Source organism: Homo sapiens, chromosome 20, assembly GCF_000001405.40.
Source record: "Homo sapiens chromosome 20, GRCh38.p14 Primary Assembly".
Lineage (NCBI taxonomy): Eukaryota > Metazoa > Chordata > Mammalia > Primates > Hominidae > Homo > Homo sapiens.
Window position 1 is genome coordinate 39,023,086 of NC_000020.11, and position 17,221 is coordinate 39,040,306.

Below are 17,221 nucleotides of genomic sequence, written 5' to 3' on the forward strand. Positions count from 1 at the left end.
TTAACCTGGAGGAGGAGAGAGACAAGAACACTAACATTTTATCAAATTTCTTTGCCAGATACCTTGTAATAAATTATCTTAATCCACAGCAATCTTGATAGGTTTAGTTTCCTGATTTTACAGATAAGGAAATCAAGGCTGAGAGAGGTTAAGTAACCAAGCTGAGTTCTTTCAAGATATGGCAGAGCTAGAATGCTGCAAACTAGGTCTTTCTGAATCCATAACCCACACGCTATTCACCATGCAATATTACTTCCAGTGCAAAAGTCAATTTCTTTCTTTCTTTCTTTTTTTCTTTTTTGAGACAGGGTCTCGCCCTGTTGCCTTGGTTGGAGCGCAGTGGTGCAAACATGGCTCCTGGGCTCAAGCGATCCTTCCACCTCAGCCTAGTAGCTGGGGCTTAGAGGCATACACCACCATGCCCTGCTGATTTTTTTTTTTAGCTTTTGTAGACATGGGGTTTACCTATGTTGCCCAGGCTGGTCTCGAACTTCTGGGTTCAGGCAATCCTCCCACCTTAGCCTCACCAAATGCTGGGATTATAGGTGTGAGCCACCACACCCAGCAAAGAGTGAAATTCTGAATGTTGCTTCATTCTTTCCAGATTCGAGTGCACCGTAAATTTGCTGTGGAGGAGGGCGACCACCTCACTATGCTCAATATATATGAAGCATTTATCAAAGTAAGCACAACTACTGCTCGAAGTGCCGCCTCAACACACCACCCTCTGGAGGTGATCTAGGAGGGAGGATCCCAGAAGTTCAGTTCGTAAAGGAATGTCCAAGAGAGCCCTTGATTTTCCTGTTAGATTTATTGCCAGTACTTCTAACTGGTGGGTCGGGCTTTCTGCCTGAGTTTGTGGTGAGGTATTGCTGAGAAGAACACAGGAATCATTCATTGCTTTCCCTTGCTTGGAGATATGGTACACTAGTGGCAGGCCAGTGGCCCAGCCTCACGTCATCTCACATCCACTGTGCAGTAGACAGAAAGGCAACATTTGAATAGGAAGTTCTGTTACATTTTCTGCCAGGTGAATGAGGCTGAGAGCAACTTGTAGTCCTGGGTTGAATCTTCAAAGCTGTCCCAGCTGCCATGAGAAGACATTTAGTTGAGATCTGTGCATATTCACATATCCCACCCATATTTAGCTATAAGTGATGTTAATTTTTTATTGTTAATATTCTTTAAAACTAAGCAAATAATACAGCTTAAAGTTCTCATGAAAAATTGTTAATAAAGGTGATGAAAATGATGAAAAAAGTAACCTTACATAAAAGAAAGGGTATAATACTTCAGATTTTTAATACTCATTTCTTAAATACTCTTTTAGAAGTGAAGAAATACTAAATTTTTGTTTACCAGTGATTTGAGGAAGATTATTCAGTTGGTGAAAAGTTTTCAGAAAAAAGAAATTCACTCTTTTTGAGACTTACGGCTTAAATCAGTTAAAATTCATTTGTACAGGCACAATGTATCATCTGCAGTCTGAAGCTTTCTCTACCACTAGAAAGTGGGTATAGGTCTACATTGTATTATTCTATGGTTGCCTTCTTGGAATATCTTCTATTAATTACATTTTCTTTTTTAAAGCACTTTAACTTACAATAGAATTTCAGAGGTACATTTCCACAGCAATAATTTACTCTAAGACATAATGATCATACTTATGAATGCAGAAAAAATTAAATACTGTTGATAGAAAAATCATGCTTTGGGGACAAATAATAGTAATTTGTAAATTATTTCTACATTGGCAAGTGTCATATTGTTGGCTTCTAGTATAATAAAGTGATACATTCAAGCATGCCAAAGAAGAAAAGTTGATTTACAAAGAACCACGTGGAGAAATGGTTCTTTCTGATAGTTCACATCTCATGAAGGTATGTAAGATTGAAACCGTTTCTGCGTGTCATTAAGTTCTCATTTGCCCTTTAGTGTAAAGAGTGAGGTTGCAGAGCAGTCAGATGTGTGCAAGGTTGTTAACATCTGTTTTGAGAGATGGGGCAAAAAAGGGCCAGTTCCCATCTTTAGATCTTATGCCGTTGAACAGCACATGGGGGAAGAGAGAAGAATGATCTTTACAACATAGCCTTAGTCGAGAACATATCTGTTTTCTAACTCCCTCTCTCTGGGTTGTTCTGTAGCACAATAAGGACTCTAAATGGTGTCAGGAACATTTCCTGAATTACAAGGGTCTTGTCAGAGCTGCGACTGTAAGAGAACAATTGAAAAAGCTTCTTGTCAAGTTTCAAGTGCCCAGGAAGTCTAGTGAAGGTGAGAAGAAACCGTCCCAGCTGGTGACCTCCCTTGCTTCATTCTGTTGAGTTGTCTTCCTAAAGTTCTCATGCTGGGCTGGTGCGAGGCAGTGTGGCGTGCTCTGTACCAACACTGGGTTTTATATTTTGAGTTGCCTGCATCTGTGAAAAGCTGAAGGTCAAGTTGCGTATTTTTTCCAAGGAGGTCTATTTTTCTTTCTGATGGGCATTCTTACTAAAGGAATTTCATAGCCCATGACAATACTTAAGAATCACTAACAGTCACATCAGTGCACATCATGTCATTGATTTTCCCATGTAGGCTTTGCAAGAAAAATTACTTTTTGATCAGTGATATTAGTAGCTATTACATAAAAATTAAATTTTATATTCAAAGACAAGTATTATTAAAGCAAGTGCTGGATATTTAGCCTAGGCAGCCACTAAAGGTAAGACAGAAAAGTACTATGTAAGACGTAGTCTCTGGCCTCTAGCAGTGACAGTGACTACTATTAATCAGGGACACAGTAGGTTACGCTGTGGCAGGGGTTCTCCAAATATTCTCTTGCTCAATCTCGCACTCTGTGAGGTGTCGGTAATGTTATCCTCATTTTACAATTAGTCGTAAGATCCTAGGGAGAAGGTAGATTAAATTCAGGACCACGCAACTGGTAAGGAGGAGAGCCAGATCTGTATGTGGCTCAGAAGTCTACGCTTTTAAGGAAGTGACACACCCGCCTCAGCAGTCAGCCTGAAAGCCTAGTGTGCCAGGTACTCAGCCACATCCTCAGCACCATTAGTACTTGGTAACATTTCCTGAGTGCTTATAAGTGGCTAGACAGTGCACTGAGTGTTCCATGTGTTTATTAATTTAATGCTCACAACAACGCTGTGAAACGTGTGCTCTTTTCCCCATCTTATAGGTGAGAAAAGCGTGGCTAAGAGGTAAAATGTAACTTGCTGAAGTTACACAGTGAGGGTATGATGGAGTCAGAACCTGAGCCCAGGCGGTTCCATTTAAGTCTTCTTTTGTCTTTATACTAAGAGCAAGTGATTAAACAATGACGGAGTCTTGGCTTTTACTCTAAGGGAACAGTGTAATGAAGGGAGAGATTCATATGGATAGACAAAGTACTAAGATTATCAGTCCTCTTCGAAGTTAAAGTAGTAGATACTTTAGTAATCATAGAAGACGTGCTGGCAGATGTGGAAGGAATGCCGGGAAGAAGGAATCCAGAGAGGGCTAGCTTGGGAAGTCTTTCAGCTTCCTTGAGGTGTGGTGGGAGTCCGGTCAAGCTTTGGGGTCTGGTTGAATTAGAAAATGGTGGCAAAGAGCACTCTAGGGAAGGAGGACTGGAGACAAGTGCTTGGAGTGAGGAGTATATGAGACGCTCAGAGAATATTTGATGGGTGAATACACTCACGAGAGAGGGAAGAGTTGAAACCTGGGCCATTGAGCCATGTTGGAGTCATTGATAGAAACAGGATGCTTACAAGGAGCACCTAGTTGGAGAGCAGCTCGTCAAACGCCTGTCACCCAGCAGGTAGATGACAGCCTTACTTCAGCAATTGGTGTTCTTCACCTGTGTTTCATTATCAGACCCCTGCCCAGGAGAAAAGTTAAATTTAAATTCTACCCAGCCTGAGAAATTAAATACTAAGGAATAAGATTTTGTAGGGTAGGATTGAGCTTTGGAGGGCTACCGGCCATTGTAGTGTCTAAGATGCTCCCCTCCCCCTGCCTCCAAGAACCAGTTTCCACCCCTTTGGAAGTGATATCACCCCTGTTTAGAGTGCATATTTTACATGGAAATTTCTTATGGACAATAGGAGAGAAGAGACTGGATATCGGATTAGATCATATTTAGACATGTAGATTTGAGATTTTATCAGCTCAGTGCTTAGGAAAAATACAGAAAATCATGGAGACTAAATAAATTACATGCAAATTTAAAACATCTAAGGGTTAAAAAATAGAAAGCAATTAGTGAAAGATACTTTCAGCAGTCATGAGATAAATGATAAAGATTAAAAACTTTATTATAGAATGATTTTATTTAATATATTTAGGAAAAAACAGTTTTCAGGTTGATAAATGGGCTAAGGATTAGAACAAAAAATTCACAAAAGAAGAAATATGCCGATAGTAATCAAATAAATGTAATATAAAAGAAGGTAACAGAAGGTAACACTTTTTGCCAAAACATTGCTAGTAAGAATGCAGTGAAACTGCCATTTTTATATATTGTTGATGGCTTTGGAAATAGTACCACCTTTATGGAACTTACTTACCAACATGCTTTATTCCATTGGATCTAAGATACCATCATGTGTAAGAAACATCGTTATTTTATGTGTCACCAAAGAAAAAAAATGCTGCCAGTTATCATTGTAAAATGCTGTCCTAATTTCAGTGAATTAAAGTTAGAAAAAGAGCGAGTCTTAAAATTGATGAGATGTGATATGTCATTAACCATAAAAATAACATTAGCCTTTTGCACAACAATTTGGAATGTATCCTATGGACATCATCTAATAGTGGGGAAGCTTTATTCATGGAAGATGTTAGCTGTAGCAATAGAAACACCAGTTAAAATGGAACATTTGAAAAATTTGAAGAATTACTTCAATTTTCAAACACTAGCTCATAACCACAGAAGTAACGTTGTATACTATCTCCAGTTTGTGTTTTATAGAAAGAACATTGTTGCCATATGACACTCTTTTACAAAGGAGTTCTGAGGTCACTGACCAGCCTGCAGAGCAGCACTCTTAGGTTCTGGTGCCCAGCCATGGTCCAGTCATCTGTGGCTTAGGGGAGGTTGGAGGGGTCCCAGGTTCAAGGAGCAGACCAGCATTGTTGTCAGCAGCAGTTGTGGGGAGTGGGACCTCCTTAGATGGTGCTGGGGCAGGCATCCAGCATTGGGAAGGGTAGGGCTGGAGCCATTTCAGGAGAGGGTTTCCAGGTGTCTTGAAGCAGCCTGGGGTGGTGCTGGGAGTGGATCCTGTGCATTAGAGCACACGGAGCCTAGGGCAGGCAAGGGTTTCACCCGCCTCTCTGTTGGCTGCCTATGTAGGTGACCCGGATCTGGTTCTGAGGTGCATTGTCTCCGGCTTCTTCGCCAATGCAGCGAGGTTTCATTCTACTGGAGCTTATAGGTAACATGATACTTGGTGAAGTCATTTGTTAAAGGAACAATCTTACAAATGACCCAAACCCCACAGAAAGCTGTGCAGAGATAGTAATTGCATAATTATTTGTAATTTCTACCATGTCTCCTTCCAAAACTGAGTTGAGGTTAGCGACATAGCTTTAAGCAAAATATCTTGACTTTCTAAAAATGATTCTCACATATTCAGCTCATCTATATGTTGTATGTTTTAGAAGGATGACAATTATACATCTTGAGGCTGGTAATATTTCAATTCTAATGACAGAATAATATGACCTGAAGAAACTATTAAAAATAATGTTTCTCAGAGAAGTTATTTTACAATTGGCTAGTTTATTATGTCTTTAGAGATCTGCACGACTGAAGTCCCCTCCCACCCTGGTATAGTGTGGCCACGTCTGGTGTCTTTGGAGGTAGCCAGGTGTTTCTCATGTGCTGGATGTGCCTCCTGCTACATAACCTGATTCTTCCAGTTCCATTTTCTAGGCATAGGAAATCACTCATTGATGCCTTCCTAATGGTCTTTACTATATTCAAATGCAGTGAAAACTAAGCATAGCTTAGGCATACTGTAGCCTGTCAGTATCATGATTCTCCAAACTAATCATTCCAGTGCTTTGAATTGTTACTTTTATTCTGTCTTTTCTGTCTTTGGCTCATTTTAGTTTCATAACCTCAGTGTAGCCTCCTAAAAGTGTAGCTATCATCATTTTCTGTTCTTTAATAAGAGAACACTCCAAAGAATTTCTCCCCAGCTCTTCTATGTATTATTTTGTCATTAATTTTTTTTCCCAGAGAAAATATTACTGCCCTGTTATCTTGAGGTCAGCCAAGATATCCCTTGTCCTGGGCTCCTGTTAATGAGTCCAGAGTTGCACTGAGCCTTTTTTAATTTTGACAGCCAGATCTGCTCCATCTAGTATCCTAGTAGCCGACTGTTGGAACTGCAGGATAGCACTTTACAATGATCTCTAGTATGTTCTCTTTGTTACTCCAGGCATGTTGTAGCCTGTCAGTATTGTGATTCATTTGCCCATTGTATGAGCTCACCTCCCCACCCTGAGTTGTCTGTATTTGAGGCAACTTGTCCATGTGGAGGCGACCCCCACGGTGGCCCGAGATCTTCCCTAAGGAGTGCTGCCAGCTTGTCATCTTGATTGCTCCTACTCTCCTGGAGAGTTAGCAATTTTGACTAGCGTTTGGAAAATTCTTTTATCAGTGTCCTTAGCAACAATGTGGGCTACCTAAGAGGTTCCAGGCTAATCATTCCTTTGAGACAACATTTAGTGTTGATCAGCTCACCACCCCCTGGTAGGACAGCCCAGGACCCCAGGACGCTGGCTTTATTACAATGCCGACGAGGCATTCCGTCACAGCACTTGAAGCACTTCCCCCAAGAAACAGATCATTCTACTGAGTTGGAATTGGAAGTACTATTTCAGAGAAATTAATAGTCCAGTATTGAGCTTTTTTTTTTTTTTTTGAGATGGAGTTTCGCTCTTGTTGCCCATGCTAGAGTGCAATGGGGTGATCTTGGCTCATCGCAACCTTTGCCTCCCAGTTTCAAGCGATTCTCCTGCCTCAGCCTCCGGAGTAGCTGGGATTACAGGCATGTGACACCACACCCAACTAATTTTGTATTTTTAGTAGAGACAGGGTTTCTCCATGTTGGCCAGGCTGGTCTTGAACTCCCGACCTCAAGTGATCTGCTCGCCTTGGCCTCCCAAAGTGCTGGGATTACAGGCATGAGCCACCATGCCTGGCTGTGAGCTTTCTTTTTTCATTATCGTTACGTCCCCCTATAGTCATTATCTTTAGTATTTAACTTTGCTTTTTAGATTATAGAAGAAATCACATGTATTATTTCCATTCCAAAGGAAATTGTTTTGAAAGAGCACCTGCAGAAGATACACATAAACATAGGCAGAGCATTTTATTCCTAAATGTTTTTTCTAAGTGTCCGCGTGTTGCTTTTCTCCTCTTCGCTTTTTCCACGTGATTTATTCTTGACTTCTGGGGTGGCAGCCAGGAGAGGGATCAAGAAAGGTTGCAAGAGAAGATGGAGATAATTGTTTTGCTTGTGACGAGTTCAGTCTGCATGCTTTTTTGGTAATATTAAAAATATCTGTGGGAAAGTCTTGCTATAAGTATTTAAAATGTGCTTCAGACAAAATTCTTCTATGTTCCAAGGACCATCCGTGATGACCATGAGCTGCACATACACCCTGCGTCAGTCCTCTATGCAGAGAAGCCGCCTCGCTGGTAAGCTCATCCTGCTGCTTAGCCTGTGCCTGCTTTGAACAGGGCCATGTTCTTGTTTTTCTCCTGTACATGTTTCTTGACATCGCCTCTAGAATTGCTGCTCTGGGCCGGGCGTGGTGGCTCACGCCTGTAATCCCAGCACTTTGGGAGGCCAATGTAGGCAGGTCACCTGAGGTCAGGAGTTCAAGACCAGCCTGGCCAACATGGTGAAACCTCATCTCTACTAAAAATACAAAAATTAGCCAGGCGTGATGGGCACGTCTGTAATCTGAGCTACTCGGGAGGCTGAGGCAGGAGAATTGCTTGAACCTGGGAGGCAGAGGTTGCAGTGAGCTGAGATCACACCACTGCACTCTAGCCTGGGTGACAGAGTGAGATTCCATGTCAAAAAAAAAAAAGAGAATTTCTGCTCTGGCAAAGAGCTTCTTAAGCAAACAGTGATATTTGTCTACTCACTCATCCACTCAGCAAACGTTCATTTTCAACCACTGACTGGATGCTTAGCCCTGCATGAGGCACAGCTATGCAGAGATGAATTGGGATCCCAGCTCACGGTTCTTTTTTTTTTTTTTTTTTGAGACAGAGTTTCGCTCTGTCGCCCAGGCTGGAGTGCAGTGACGGCGCTATCTTGGCTCACTGCAACCTCTGCCTCCCAGGTCCACGTGATTCTCCTGCCTCAGCCACCTGAGTAGCTGAGACTATAGATGTGTGCAATCACGCCTGGCTAATTTTTGTATTTTTAGTGGAGATGGGGTTTCACTGTGTTGGCCAGGCTGGTCTCCAACTCCTGACCTCAGGTGATCCACCCACCTCGGCCTCCCAAAGCTCTGGGATTACAGGCATGAGCCACTGTACCCGGCCCCAGCCCACAGTTTTGACATAGGGACAGACACAGAGTCAACTACCTTAGGGGAAGGGCTTTACTAGCAGCATGGATGAAGTGCTGGGCTCAGCACATCATGTGCCAGTGAGAGTCAGGGCAGGCTTCATGGAGGAGATAACATTCATTCTGAACCTGGAAACAAGAGTGTTCAGTCAGAAAGGACCCGGAGGGTATTCTAGGTAGAGAAGTAGCAGGGGCAGAGCCATGGAACATAAAGGAACCTCATGCGTTTGGGAAGTGGGGAATCATTGGTATGGGTGGCCCATGCAATGGTGCTGCTCTGTAACACTGCCTAGGAAGAAAGAGGTAAGCACAGAAGTCTAGAGTAGGCCTTTAGACATCTTTATAACATTTCAATGGTTAAGTTTATGTTTGTCCAATTTAATAATAAAAATTGGGGGCTTATATTTTTCTTGTTTACAATTTCATTTTTCTAGAATTCATTTATATTGTATTTTACCAATAAAAAGTACTGATTAAAAGTACTGATCAACCATGGATTGGATTTTGTTTTTTTGAGACAGTGTCTCACTCTGTGTTTTTGAGACAGTGTCTCAATCTGTTGCCCAGTGGTGTGATCTTGGCTCACTTCAATCTCCACCTTCGGGGTTCAAGTGATTCTCCTGCCTCAGCCTCCTGAGTAGCTGGGATTACAGGTGCATGCAACCATGCCCAGCTAATTTTTGTATTTTTAGTAGAGACGGGGTTTTGCCGTGTTGGCCAGGCTGGTCTCAAACTCCTGACCTCAGGTGATCTGCCCACCTCAGCCTCCCAAAGTGCTGGGATTACAGGCGTGAGCCACTGTGCCTGGCCCAGATTGGAAATTTTAAAGACGACAACAACTTGTCCTTCTCCAATTGGAAGATGGAGAAGCCCTGGGAAAAAGGGTGGGGTGTGTGTGAAGAGAGGGAGAGAAGATAGCGGTAGATTTGAAGGCAAGAAAGTCTGTGGTCAAACACTTTGTACCCTAGAATTGCAGCTTTCAAAATGTGGTCTCCAGCCCAGCATCAGTATCACCTGGAAACTTGTACGAAATGCAGCTTCTCAGGCCATGCCAAGTCCCATTCAATCAGAAACTGGACTAGGGCCTAGGACTCCATTTTAACAAGCCCTCCAGATGTTTCTTTTGGGCAGTAAAGTTTGAGTTCTGTTTCCCTAGACCAAGGAATCGGATTTATCCTGTAGCCACTGCAGACCTAGAAGTTGCTTAGGTTGAAAGCACCTTGGTCGGTTCTGGGTTTAGAAATGTTACCCAGTGACCACACTAATGTGGTCAGGATACGCACACTCGTGTGCAGGATAATTTGAAGAGTGCCCACGCCTGTCATCTCAGCACTTTTGAGAGGCTGAGGCCAGAGGATTGCTTGAGGTCAGGAGTTCAATACCAGCCTGGGTGCCATAGCCAGACCTCAACTCTCAAAAAAAAAATGAGCCAGGCATGGTGGCACGTGGCTGTAGTACTAGCTACTCAGGAGACTGAGACAGGAGGATCGCTTGAGCCCAGGAGATTCAGGCTTCAGTGAGCCATGATTGCACCACTGCACTCTAGCCTGGGTGACAGAGCGAGACCCTGCCTTTAAAAAATTTTTTTTTTTAAATCAAGAGAGATGCAAAACCTCAATTTTAGATCCTTTTTTTGCTGACTTTTGGGTGGTTAAATTTGGGAGTTGCTTAAAGGAGAAAGGCTTTTCTTTTTCTTGCTTCATTCCTAAGGAGCTCTGAAGGGCAAAGAAAGGTTGGGGAAATAGAGCCAGCCTGAAGCCATGCCATACCATTCAGGTGGCAAAGAAAGTGCCCCCCAGTCACGGCCTCTTTGCAGGGGGGGCCCTTCTTTTTCCTTTGATCAGCTGAGATTCACTTACTGGTTTTTGAGGGGTGGGGAACCACAGTATGGCTGGTATGTTTATAACATGGGAAGCCCTGAATTAACACTTTGGATGTTTCAGAAACTGATATCTACTCATATGCACACCTAAAATCAGGGGACTGGATGTTATGCTCTTGGCTCTTCGGTTGTCTATTACCTGAGCCTTAGAAACATTTTTTCCCTTAAATAAAGGTATAATTTATTTACAGTGCAAGATGAGTTTTGACAAATGTGTATACCCATGTAACCTGGACCCACATAAATTATACAATATTGTTATCATTTTAGAAAATTCCTTTGTGTCTCTTTACAGTCAGTTCCCAGCCTCTTTCAGAATCAGGCAAGTCTTTGCCTCCATTTCTGCATTTTCTAATAAAGTCATTAGGCTCAGTTCAGAGTTCTGTAAATGCAGATGAAGGATCCAGAAAGGTCCTTCGCGGATAACTGAGATGTTCCAGAAGTCATTGAGGATTTAGAGTCTCATCTGAAAAATGGACACACCATTACCCAGCACTTAGGTCTTGAGGCTGTGGTGAGCAACATAAATGCATGTGTTTAGCACAGTGTCTGGCACATAGAGTAGAACCTGTTAAAGGTTAAAGGAAACAGCATGTCTACCTGTGGTTCCTGACTGTCATCACAAGAGGGGGAAATTAGCTCATGTTTCTTTCTCATTTCAGGGTCATCTATAACGAAGTTATACAGACCTCCAAGTACTACATGAGAGATGTGACTGCCATTGAATCGGCCTGGCTGTTGGAGCTGGCTCCACACTTTTATCAACAAGGAACGGTAGGAATGAACTGAGTCTGTGCCCCAGCCACCTGTTCACAGCCTCTCCATGTTTTTAAATGTACTTTTTTTCTCCAATTTAATGCCCTATGTGTGTTCCCCCTAGGGGTGCATAGGGTGGAAAGGCCATTACCATATCCCCAAAACATTCTGGGAAAGCACTCTAGCGTTTAATTCATAGTGAAGTGCAATTAAAAATAAATCCCCCTAATCTCATAAGAAAAAAAAGGTATCGCTTTCTCGCTTTCTTTCTCCTTTTGCTCTTCCAAACTATTTTTTTTTTTTTTTTTGAGACAGTCTCACTCTGCCGCCCAGGCTGGAGTGCAGTGGCACGATCATGGCTCACTGCAAGCTCCGTTTCCCGGATTCAAGCAATTCTCCTGCCTTAGCCCCCATGTAGCTGGGATTACAGGTGTGTGCCACCACGTCTGGCTCATTTTTTTCTTTTTCTTTTTTCTTTTTTTTTTTTTTGTATTTTTAATAGAGACAACGGTTTCACCATGTTGGCCAGGCTGGTTACAAACTCCTGGCCTCAAGTGATCCACCCACCTCAGCCTCCCAAAGTGCTGGGATTACAGGTATGAGCCAGCAGGCCTGGCCTGAGCTAATTAAAAAAAATTTTTTTAGGGATGGGGTTTCACTATGTTGCCCAGGCTAGTCTCGAATAACTGGGCTCAAGTGGTGCTCCTGCCTTGGTCTCCCAAATTGCTGGGATTACAGGTGTGAGCCACCATGCCACCAGTTCGTTTTTTATTTTTATTTATTTATTTTTGGGACAGAGTCTTGCCCTGTCATCCTGGCTGGAATGCAGTGGCACAATCTCAGCTCACTGCAACCTCTGCTTCCCAGGTTCAAGTGATACTCCTGCCTCAGCCTCTCTAATAGCTGGGATTACAGGCGTGCGCCACCATGCCCGGCTAATTTTTGTATTTTTAGTAGAGACAGGGTTTTGCCATATTGGCCAGGCTGGTCTTGAACTCCTGACCTCTGGTGATCCGCCCGCCTTGGTCTCCCAAAGTGTTGGGATTACAGGTGTGAGCCACCACGCCCAGCTCCTTTTTTAAAAGGGTTACAGCCCTGTGCTGTTTGTGGCCTGAAAATACTTGCTTTACATATTTTGCCCAAGTTTACTGTTGTTTACAGCAGAAGAGAAAGTCTGAAACCTTTTTCTCCATTAGGGCCAGAATTGGACTACACAATGTTTCCAAAGCGATATTTGAATTGATTGCCACATTGAAAAATTGGGAGATTTCATATTAAACATGAATTTCTGGTTTCTCTTGAAAGACATGTTTAGTCTGGCAACACTAGGCTTGCGTTCCTACGTGGTGGCATCACAGGGGCTTAGGGGTGGCTGCCTGCTGTTAGTGACATCGCCAGGTGCCGTAGTCCCATGTCACTTGCTTACTTGCCTGCTGCACTCTTGGAGACATTTGAATTTGTGACCCTGTAAATGGAAGGATCTCCTCATCTCTCCTGCTCCAGCAAAGTCAAGGGACATTGCCCTCTCAAAATTTTATAATATTTAATTTTTATGTAATCAAACAAAAACCATTTCACACCTTTATAGTTCTTCACACATCCCAATTCAGATATTTCAGCTGGAAAGCAGATCAGCCTGCAGGGACTGATAAAAATGCAGTGTGTGTTGTCTTTGCTGAATTAGGTTGATAAGAATAAACCTGGTGAAAGAAAGGCTTTTCCTTCAAAACCTCTCAGGTGGAAAGCAGCAGACTTCAGGAGTCAAGAGAAGGGATCAGAAAGGTAAACTAGAGGTTGAAAGAGGAATGGTGCAGTGGTCAAAATGCCTGTTAAAGTAAGAAGATGCAGACAGCCAGAGAAGGATAAGCCTGAAATTGTCTTGGATTCATTTAGACTCTTGGAAACAGAATTAGCCCAGAAGCTGAGTCATTTTCCCTTCTCAGCTCAAAATTCCAGTTTCTTTAGGTCAAACCCACAAAGTTAAAGAGCAAATAGCTTCAGAAATTTGAAGAAAATAACAAGCCCAAATTTCTTCATTTGTCTCTTCTCTCCAAATGGCTTTTTTATTTTTAAGCTCATCACCTCCACTGTCATCGGAGTATTTTTAGAGAGGCTGGGACAGACCTTTAGAAATCACCTAGTGCGGCCGAGCACGGTGGCTCACGCCTGTAATCCCAGCACTTTGGGAGGCTGAGGTGGGTGGAACACATGAGGACAGGAGTTCGAGACCAGCCTGGCCAACATGGTGAAACCCCGTCTCTACTAAAAATACAAAAATTAGCCGGGCATGGTGGCATGTGCCTGTAATCCCAGCTACTTGGGAGGCTGAGGCAGGAGAATCACTTGAACCTAGGAGGTGGAGGCTGCAGTGAGCCGAGATCACACCACTGCACTCCAGCCTAGGCGACAGAGCAAGACTGTCCCCCCAAAAAAAAAAAAAAAAAAAAAAAAAAGAAATCACCTAATACAACAACCTCATTGTATAACGATGGTCCCCAAACCACAGAGAAACTTGTGTTGTTTCTTAACTGTATAGTCCAAGGGCACTTCTACTATTAACTTGTCCAAAGCAGATTGATTTCTCAAAGAACCTCCAGATCTACAGGGGTTGCCCATGTATGGTAGATGTTCCTTTACTGAACACAGTGCAGCACCTCACAACCTTCCACAGCCCACAGATCATTCACGGCTCTGTTCCTGGCACCTTTGGAGACTTTCCATCACCACTGTTTTTCGGAATGTTGCTCTCACCCTGTGTGGAGGCCTGAAATGGTTCAGAGTCAGCTTTGTTTATATTCAACATTCTTCCCAGAAAAAAGCACCAAAAATGGCCCCACAGGCACAATGGCGTCATCTCCCATCCCCAAGCTAAGGCCGTGGATATCTAACATTAGCTGTAGGGGTTATATCAGGTGACGTGTAGAGAGAGAATTCAGAGAAATTCAGCAAGACCTACAGCTAGACAGGGGAAGAACGGGGTGACCTATTCAGAGATTTGCCTTCTGGCTTTTAAATTATTTTTCCTTATTCTCAGAGATATCTTCATTATTAGGGAAAACCCTTTTAACGAGGCCTTTGCAAGAGCCTGTAGTAGTCCTCCCTCAGGTGTAAGCAGATGGAAAGTCTGAGTTCTTGTAGCTCATTTATACCCGGGTCCTGTTCGCTCTGTTGTCTCTCACGTCATACCTGGTGGTGCGCTGTGTCTTCGTTCACGCCCTCCATTTTTTCAGGGCCTGCAGTTCTCTCTGGGGGCGATGCGGCTTGATGTTGTGGGGCCATGTGGCTGTGCTAAGTAGTGGGCACACCAGCTCCGGAGCAGTCAGGGTGGGCATTCTCATGTGAGGCTCCCACTGTGTGTTAGTTGGCACGGCTTAGGGATCTCTTGGTTATTGATGATTAGTAATGGGCTGTCGGGTATATCCCAGTTGATGAGTGGAGGGAGGTCTTTCATTAAAAGCTTGTATTTACACACTCTGCCTCAAAGGCATATTTAAGGATTTCTGCCACTTTTGGCTTTGCTTTAGAATGTAAAAAATACTTCATTTTCCAATCCTATTATCTGATGCCTATGATTAGAATATTGTGCTTCGTGTTATTCATAATGGTAGAAAGTGACATTTCTGGGGAAAAAAAAAAGTGTCACTAGGAGGTGTCCTTTCTGTTTTCCCAGCAAGCTTGTACCCTCCATGTGGGCAGAGGCCATATCTTTATCTCCATCCTTGAGCATGGGTACCTGGTGTGTTGAGACGCTTGGTAAATTGACTTCCTTGGTCCTAAAGAGAGGATAATTTTTCTTGACTATTGTCAGGAACTTCTTGGAGATTTGAGATCACTTCCAGACTGAGCCCAGTCTCCTGAGCACAGTTGTCTGGCTGCGGTGCTGTCCTCTAGGCTGGGGCAGAGGGAGAGTCGTGTCTCAAAAAGAAAACCTTTCCTTGACAGCTTCCGCAGAGCCCTGTATAACCAGCTTCAGCCGCTGTGGCTTGGGCCTCGGGTTGCTGGCGGCTGAATTCAGGTCGGCTTCTTCATTGGCCACTTGGGCTTTTTCCTTCCAGGCTGTTTCATGAACAGCTCAGCATTTACTGGGAAGGTGTGGACCAGATGGAAGATTTGATGTGGTCATTCATATGGGGATTATGTTGCAGTCTGGTTTCTTTGTCTAATCAACCCCAACTGTAGTGTCTTCTCTTCTGTTGCAGCACCTGTCTCTGAAAGCCAAAAGGGCCAAGGTCCAGGACCCGTGAGAGGAGCCCACAGCTACAGCTGCAGGGACTGCTGGCGTCCTCTCCTCCATGCTGCTGCCCCTGGTCCCAGGTGGGGTGAGCTGGCACCAGCTCCTGTGGAATGTTTGGTTGCTCTGAAGTGGGCTGCGGCCTGTTCATTAGTCCTTTCTTCCCGCTGCCCACAGCATTTGCATCCTTGCTGGGATCCTGGAGGACTTTGTGCATGGGCAGGCATCCTTCTGTGCTGCAGCGGGCAGAGTGGGAGTTGGCTCACTCAGCACGCTCACTAACCCAGCATGCCACTTCCAGCAGGCATGCAGTCCTGGCCCAGCTCTATGGGAAACAAGGAGGAAAGTTAGCCACTGAAGGCCAAAACACCATGTGGGGTGGACAGAGGGTTTGCTGGGCTGGCTTTGCTTTCCCTGCTGGGGCCACAGCTGTGTTAACCAATGAGGTCTGCTGCCAGGTGTGAACAAGCATGTCTCTACGAATGAACGAAACATTGGGGATCTCTGCCGAAACCACCAAAGGGCATGTCTGATGGGCACAGGGTCTCCCAAACCCAGTGGCTTCTGTCTGTCCTCAGCCCTTGTCCCTGTTTATCTGCAGCCAGGAGACTTGCAAGGGATTGGTGATTGACAGAGAGGACTCGTGCGCTGTTTTGTGTTAGCAGAGGATTTGTGTTTCACAGGTAGGCTTAGCGTCCTCTCAGAGTGTAGTGCCAGGTCCTGGTGCCACGCTAGCTGAGCACTCAGGAGAGTTCATCAGCTCAGATCCCACAGGGCCTCCTCTTTAGCAGGAATTCACAACAGTTTGGATGCCCTAAACTTCTGTAGCTCAGGAACATCACTGGTGTATTTGTTTTTTTGTTTGTTTGCTTGGGTTCTTGCAAGAGCGCGTGGGGACAGTTCTTCCAGCAGGCACTGGTTTTGTTGCCCCAGGGCTGCTTTGCTGTGATGATGATTGCATTTCAACACATGCCAGATGCAGATTTTTTCCCCCTTACTGTTTCAATGACCTTTATTTTAAAAACACATAGCTTGAAAATTTATTTTTATACTGATATTAGTTTGGATGTGCCACTTTTGGCACCAAACGTGTATGTCATTTTTATTTCCATTTTATAAACATGTAAATAATAGTGATAACTTGTTAATAATAGTAAACCTTTATACCTAAAGTAAATGTCTTCCCTCCCACACCTGGTTTTCGTGTCTGTATGTTAAGATGTTCTAATGAATTGTTCGAAGTGAGGGCCTGACATTAGCTAAGAAACTTAATGCTGTGGCATACAGCAGCTTTGGGATCTCAGGGACACAGGAAGCCCCCTAAAGCAAGATGATGTGACTGAATGACCTCAAGACCTGATTAGAGTAAACTGTGGGACATTTAAAAGAAGTCCCAAAGAGGTGCTAATTCTTGCCAGTTTCCAGTTGGGATCTTCCTGTAGAGAGGTCAGAAACATTATTTTTCAAGTTTGGCTTTAGGACTGGGGCTGATCCTAAAAAGCTTATATGGCGGTGGAAGGGGAAAGGTACAGGTTTCACACCCTCGGGTTGGAGACCAGAGTCCACTGGGAGCCCGGACAATCTGGAGGGAGCACCCAGAGGCAAGCCCGTCCCTGCATGCTGCCTCTACCCCTGGGCGCCTGATCCTGAGCACATGCTTCCCCTCTGTCCCTCCACCTCTCAGAAGGCAGCCCTCCCCAGGCGACACCCCCCAGTGTTGTGTCCTGTGTTATGTCACAGTCTGTGATGGGTGGGACAGGTCCTTGCTGTCCGAAG

At 44.0% G+C, this 17,221-nt stretch overlaps 1 protein-coding gene across 7 annotated transcripts in view; it reads left to right on the forward strand.

The window, feature by feature from the left end:
• DHX35 (DEAH-box helicase 35) overlaps positions 1-16,636 on the forward strand; it is a 77,378-nt gene extending 60,742 nt beyond the window's left edge. For 4 of the 7 annotated variants that reach the window (NR_033905.2, NM_021931.4, NM_001190809.2 and 1 more), the window contains 6 exons: positions 605-682; positions 2,145-2,274; positions 5,333-5,414; positions 7,619-7,690; positions 11,121-11,232; positions 15,414-16,636. Coding sequence is in view for 5 of the 7 variants with exons in the window: in NM_021931.4 (NP_068750.2) it covers positions 605-682; positions 2,145-2,274; positions 5,333-5,414; positions 7,619-7,690; positions 11,121-11,232; positions 15,414-15,458 (519 nt within the window). In the remaining 2 variants the exon portion in view is untranslated. Of the gene's footprint in view, positions 1-604; positions 683-2,144; positions 2,275-5,332; positions 5,415-7,618; positions 7,691-11,120; positions 11,233-15,413 lie in introns of those variants that run through there. The other 3 variants (XM_011528972.3, XM_047440354.1, XR_007067474.1) reach the window with 2 other exon arrangements.
• Positions 16,637-17,221: the final 585 nt, after the last annotated feature.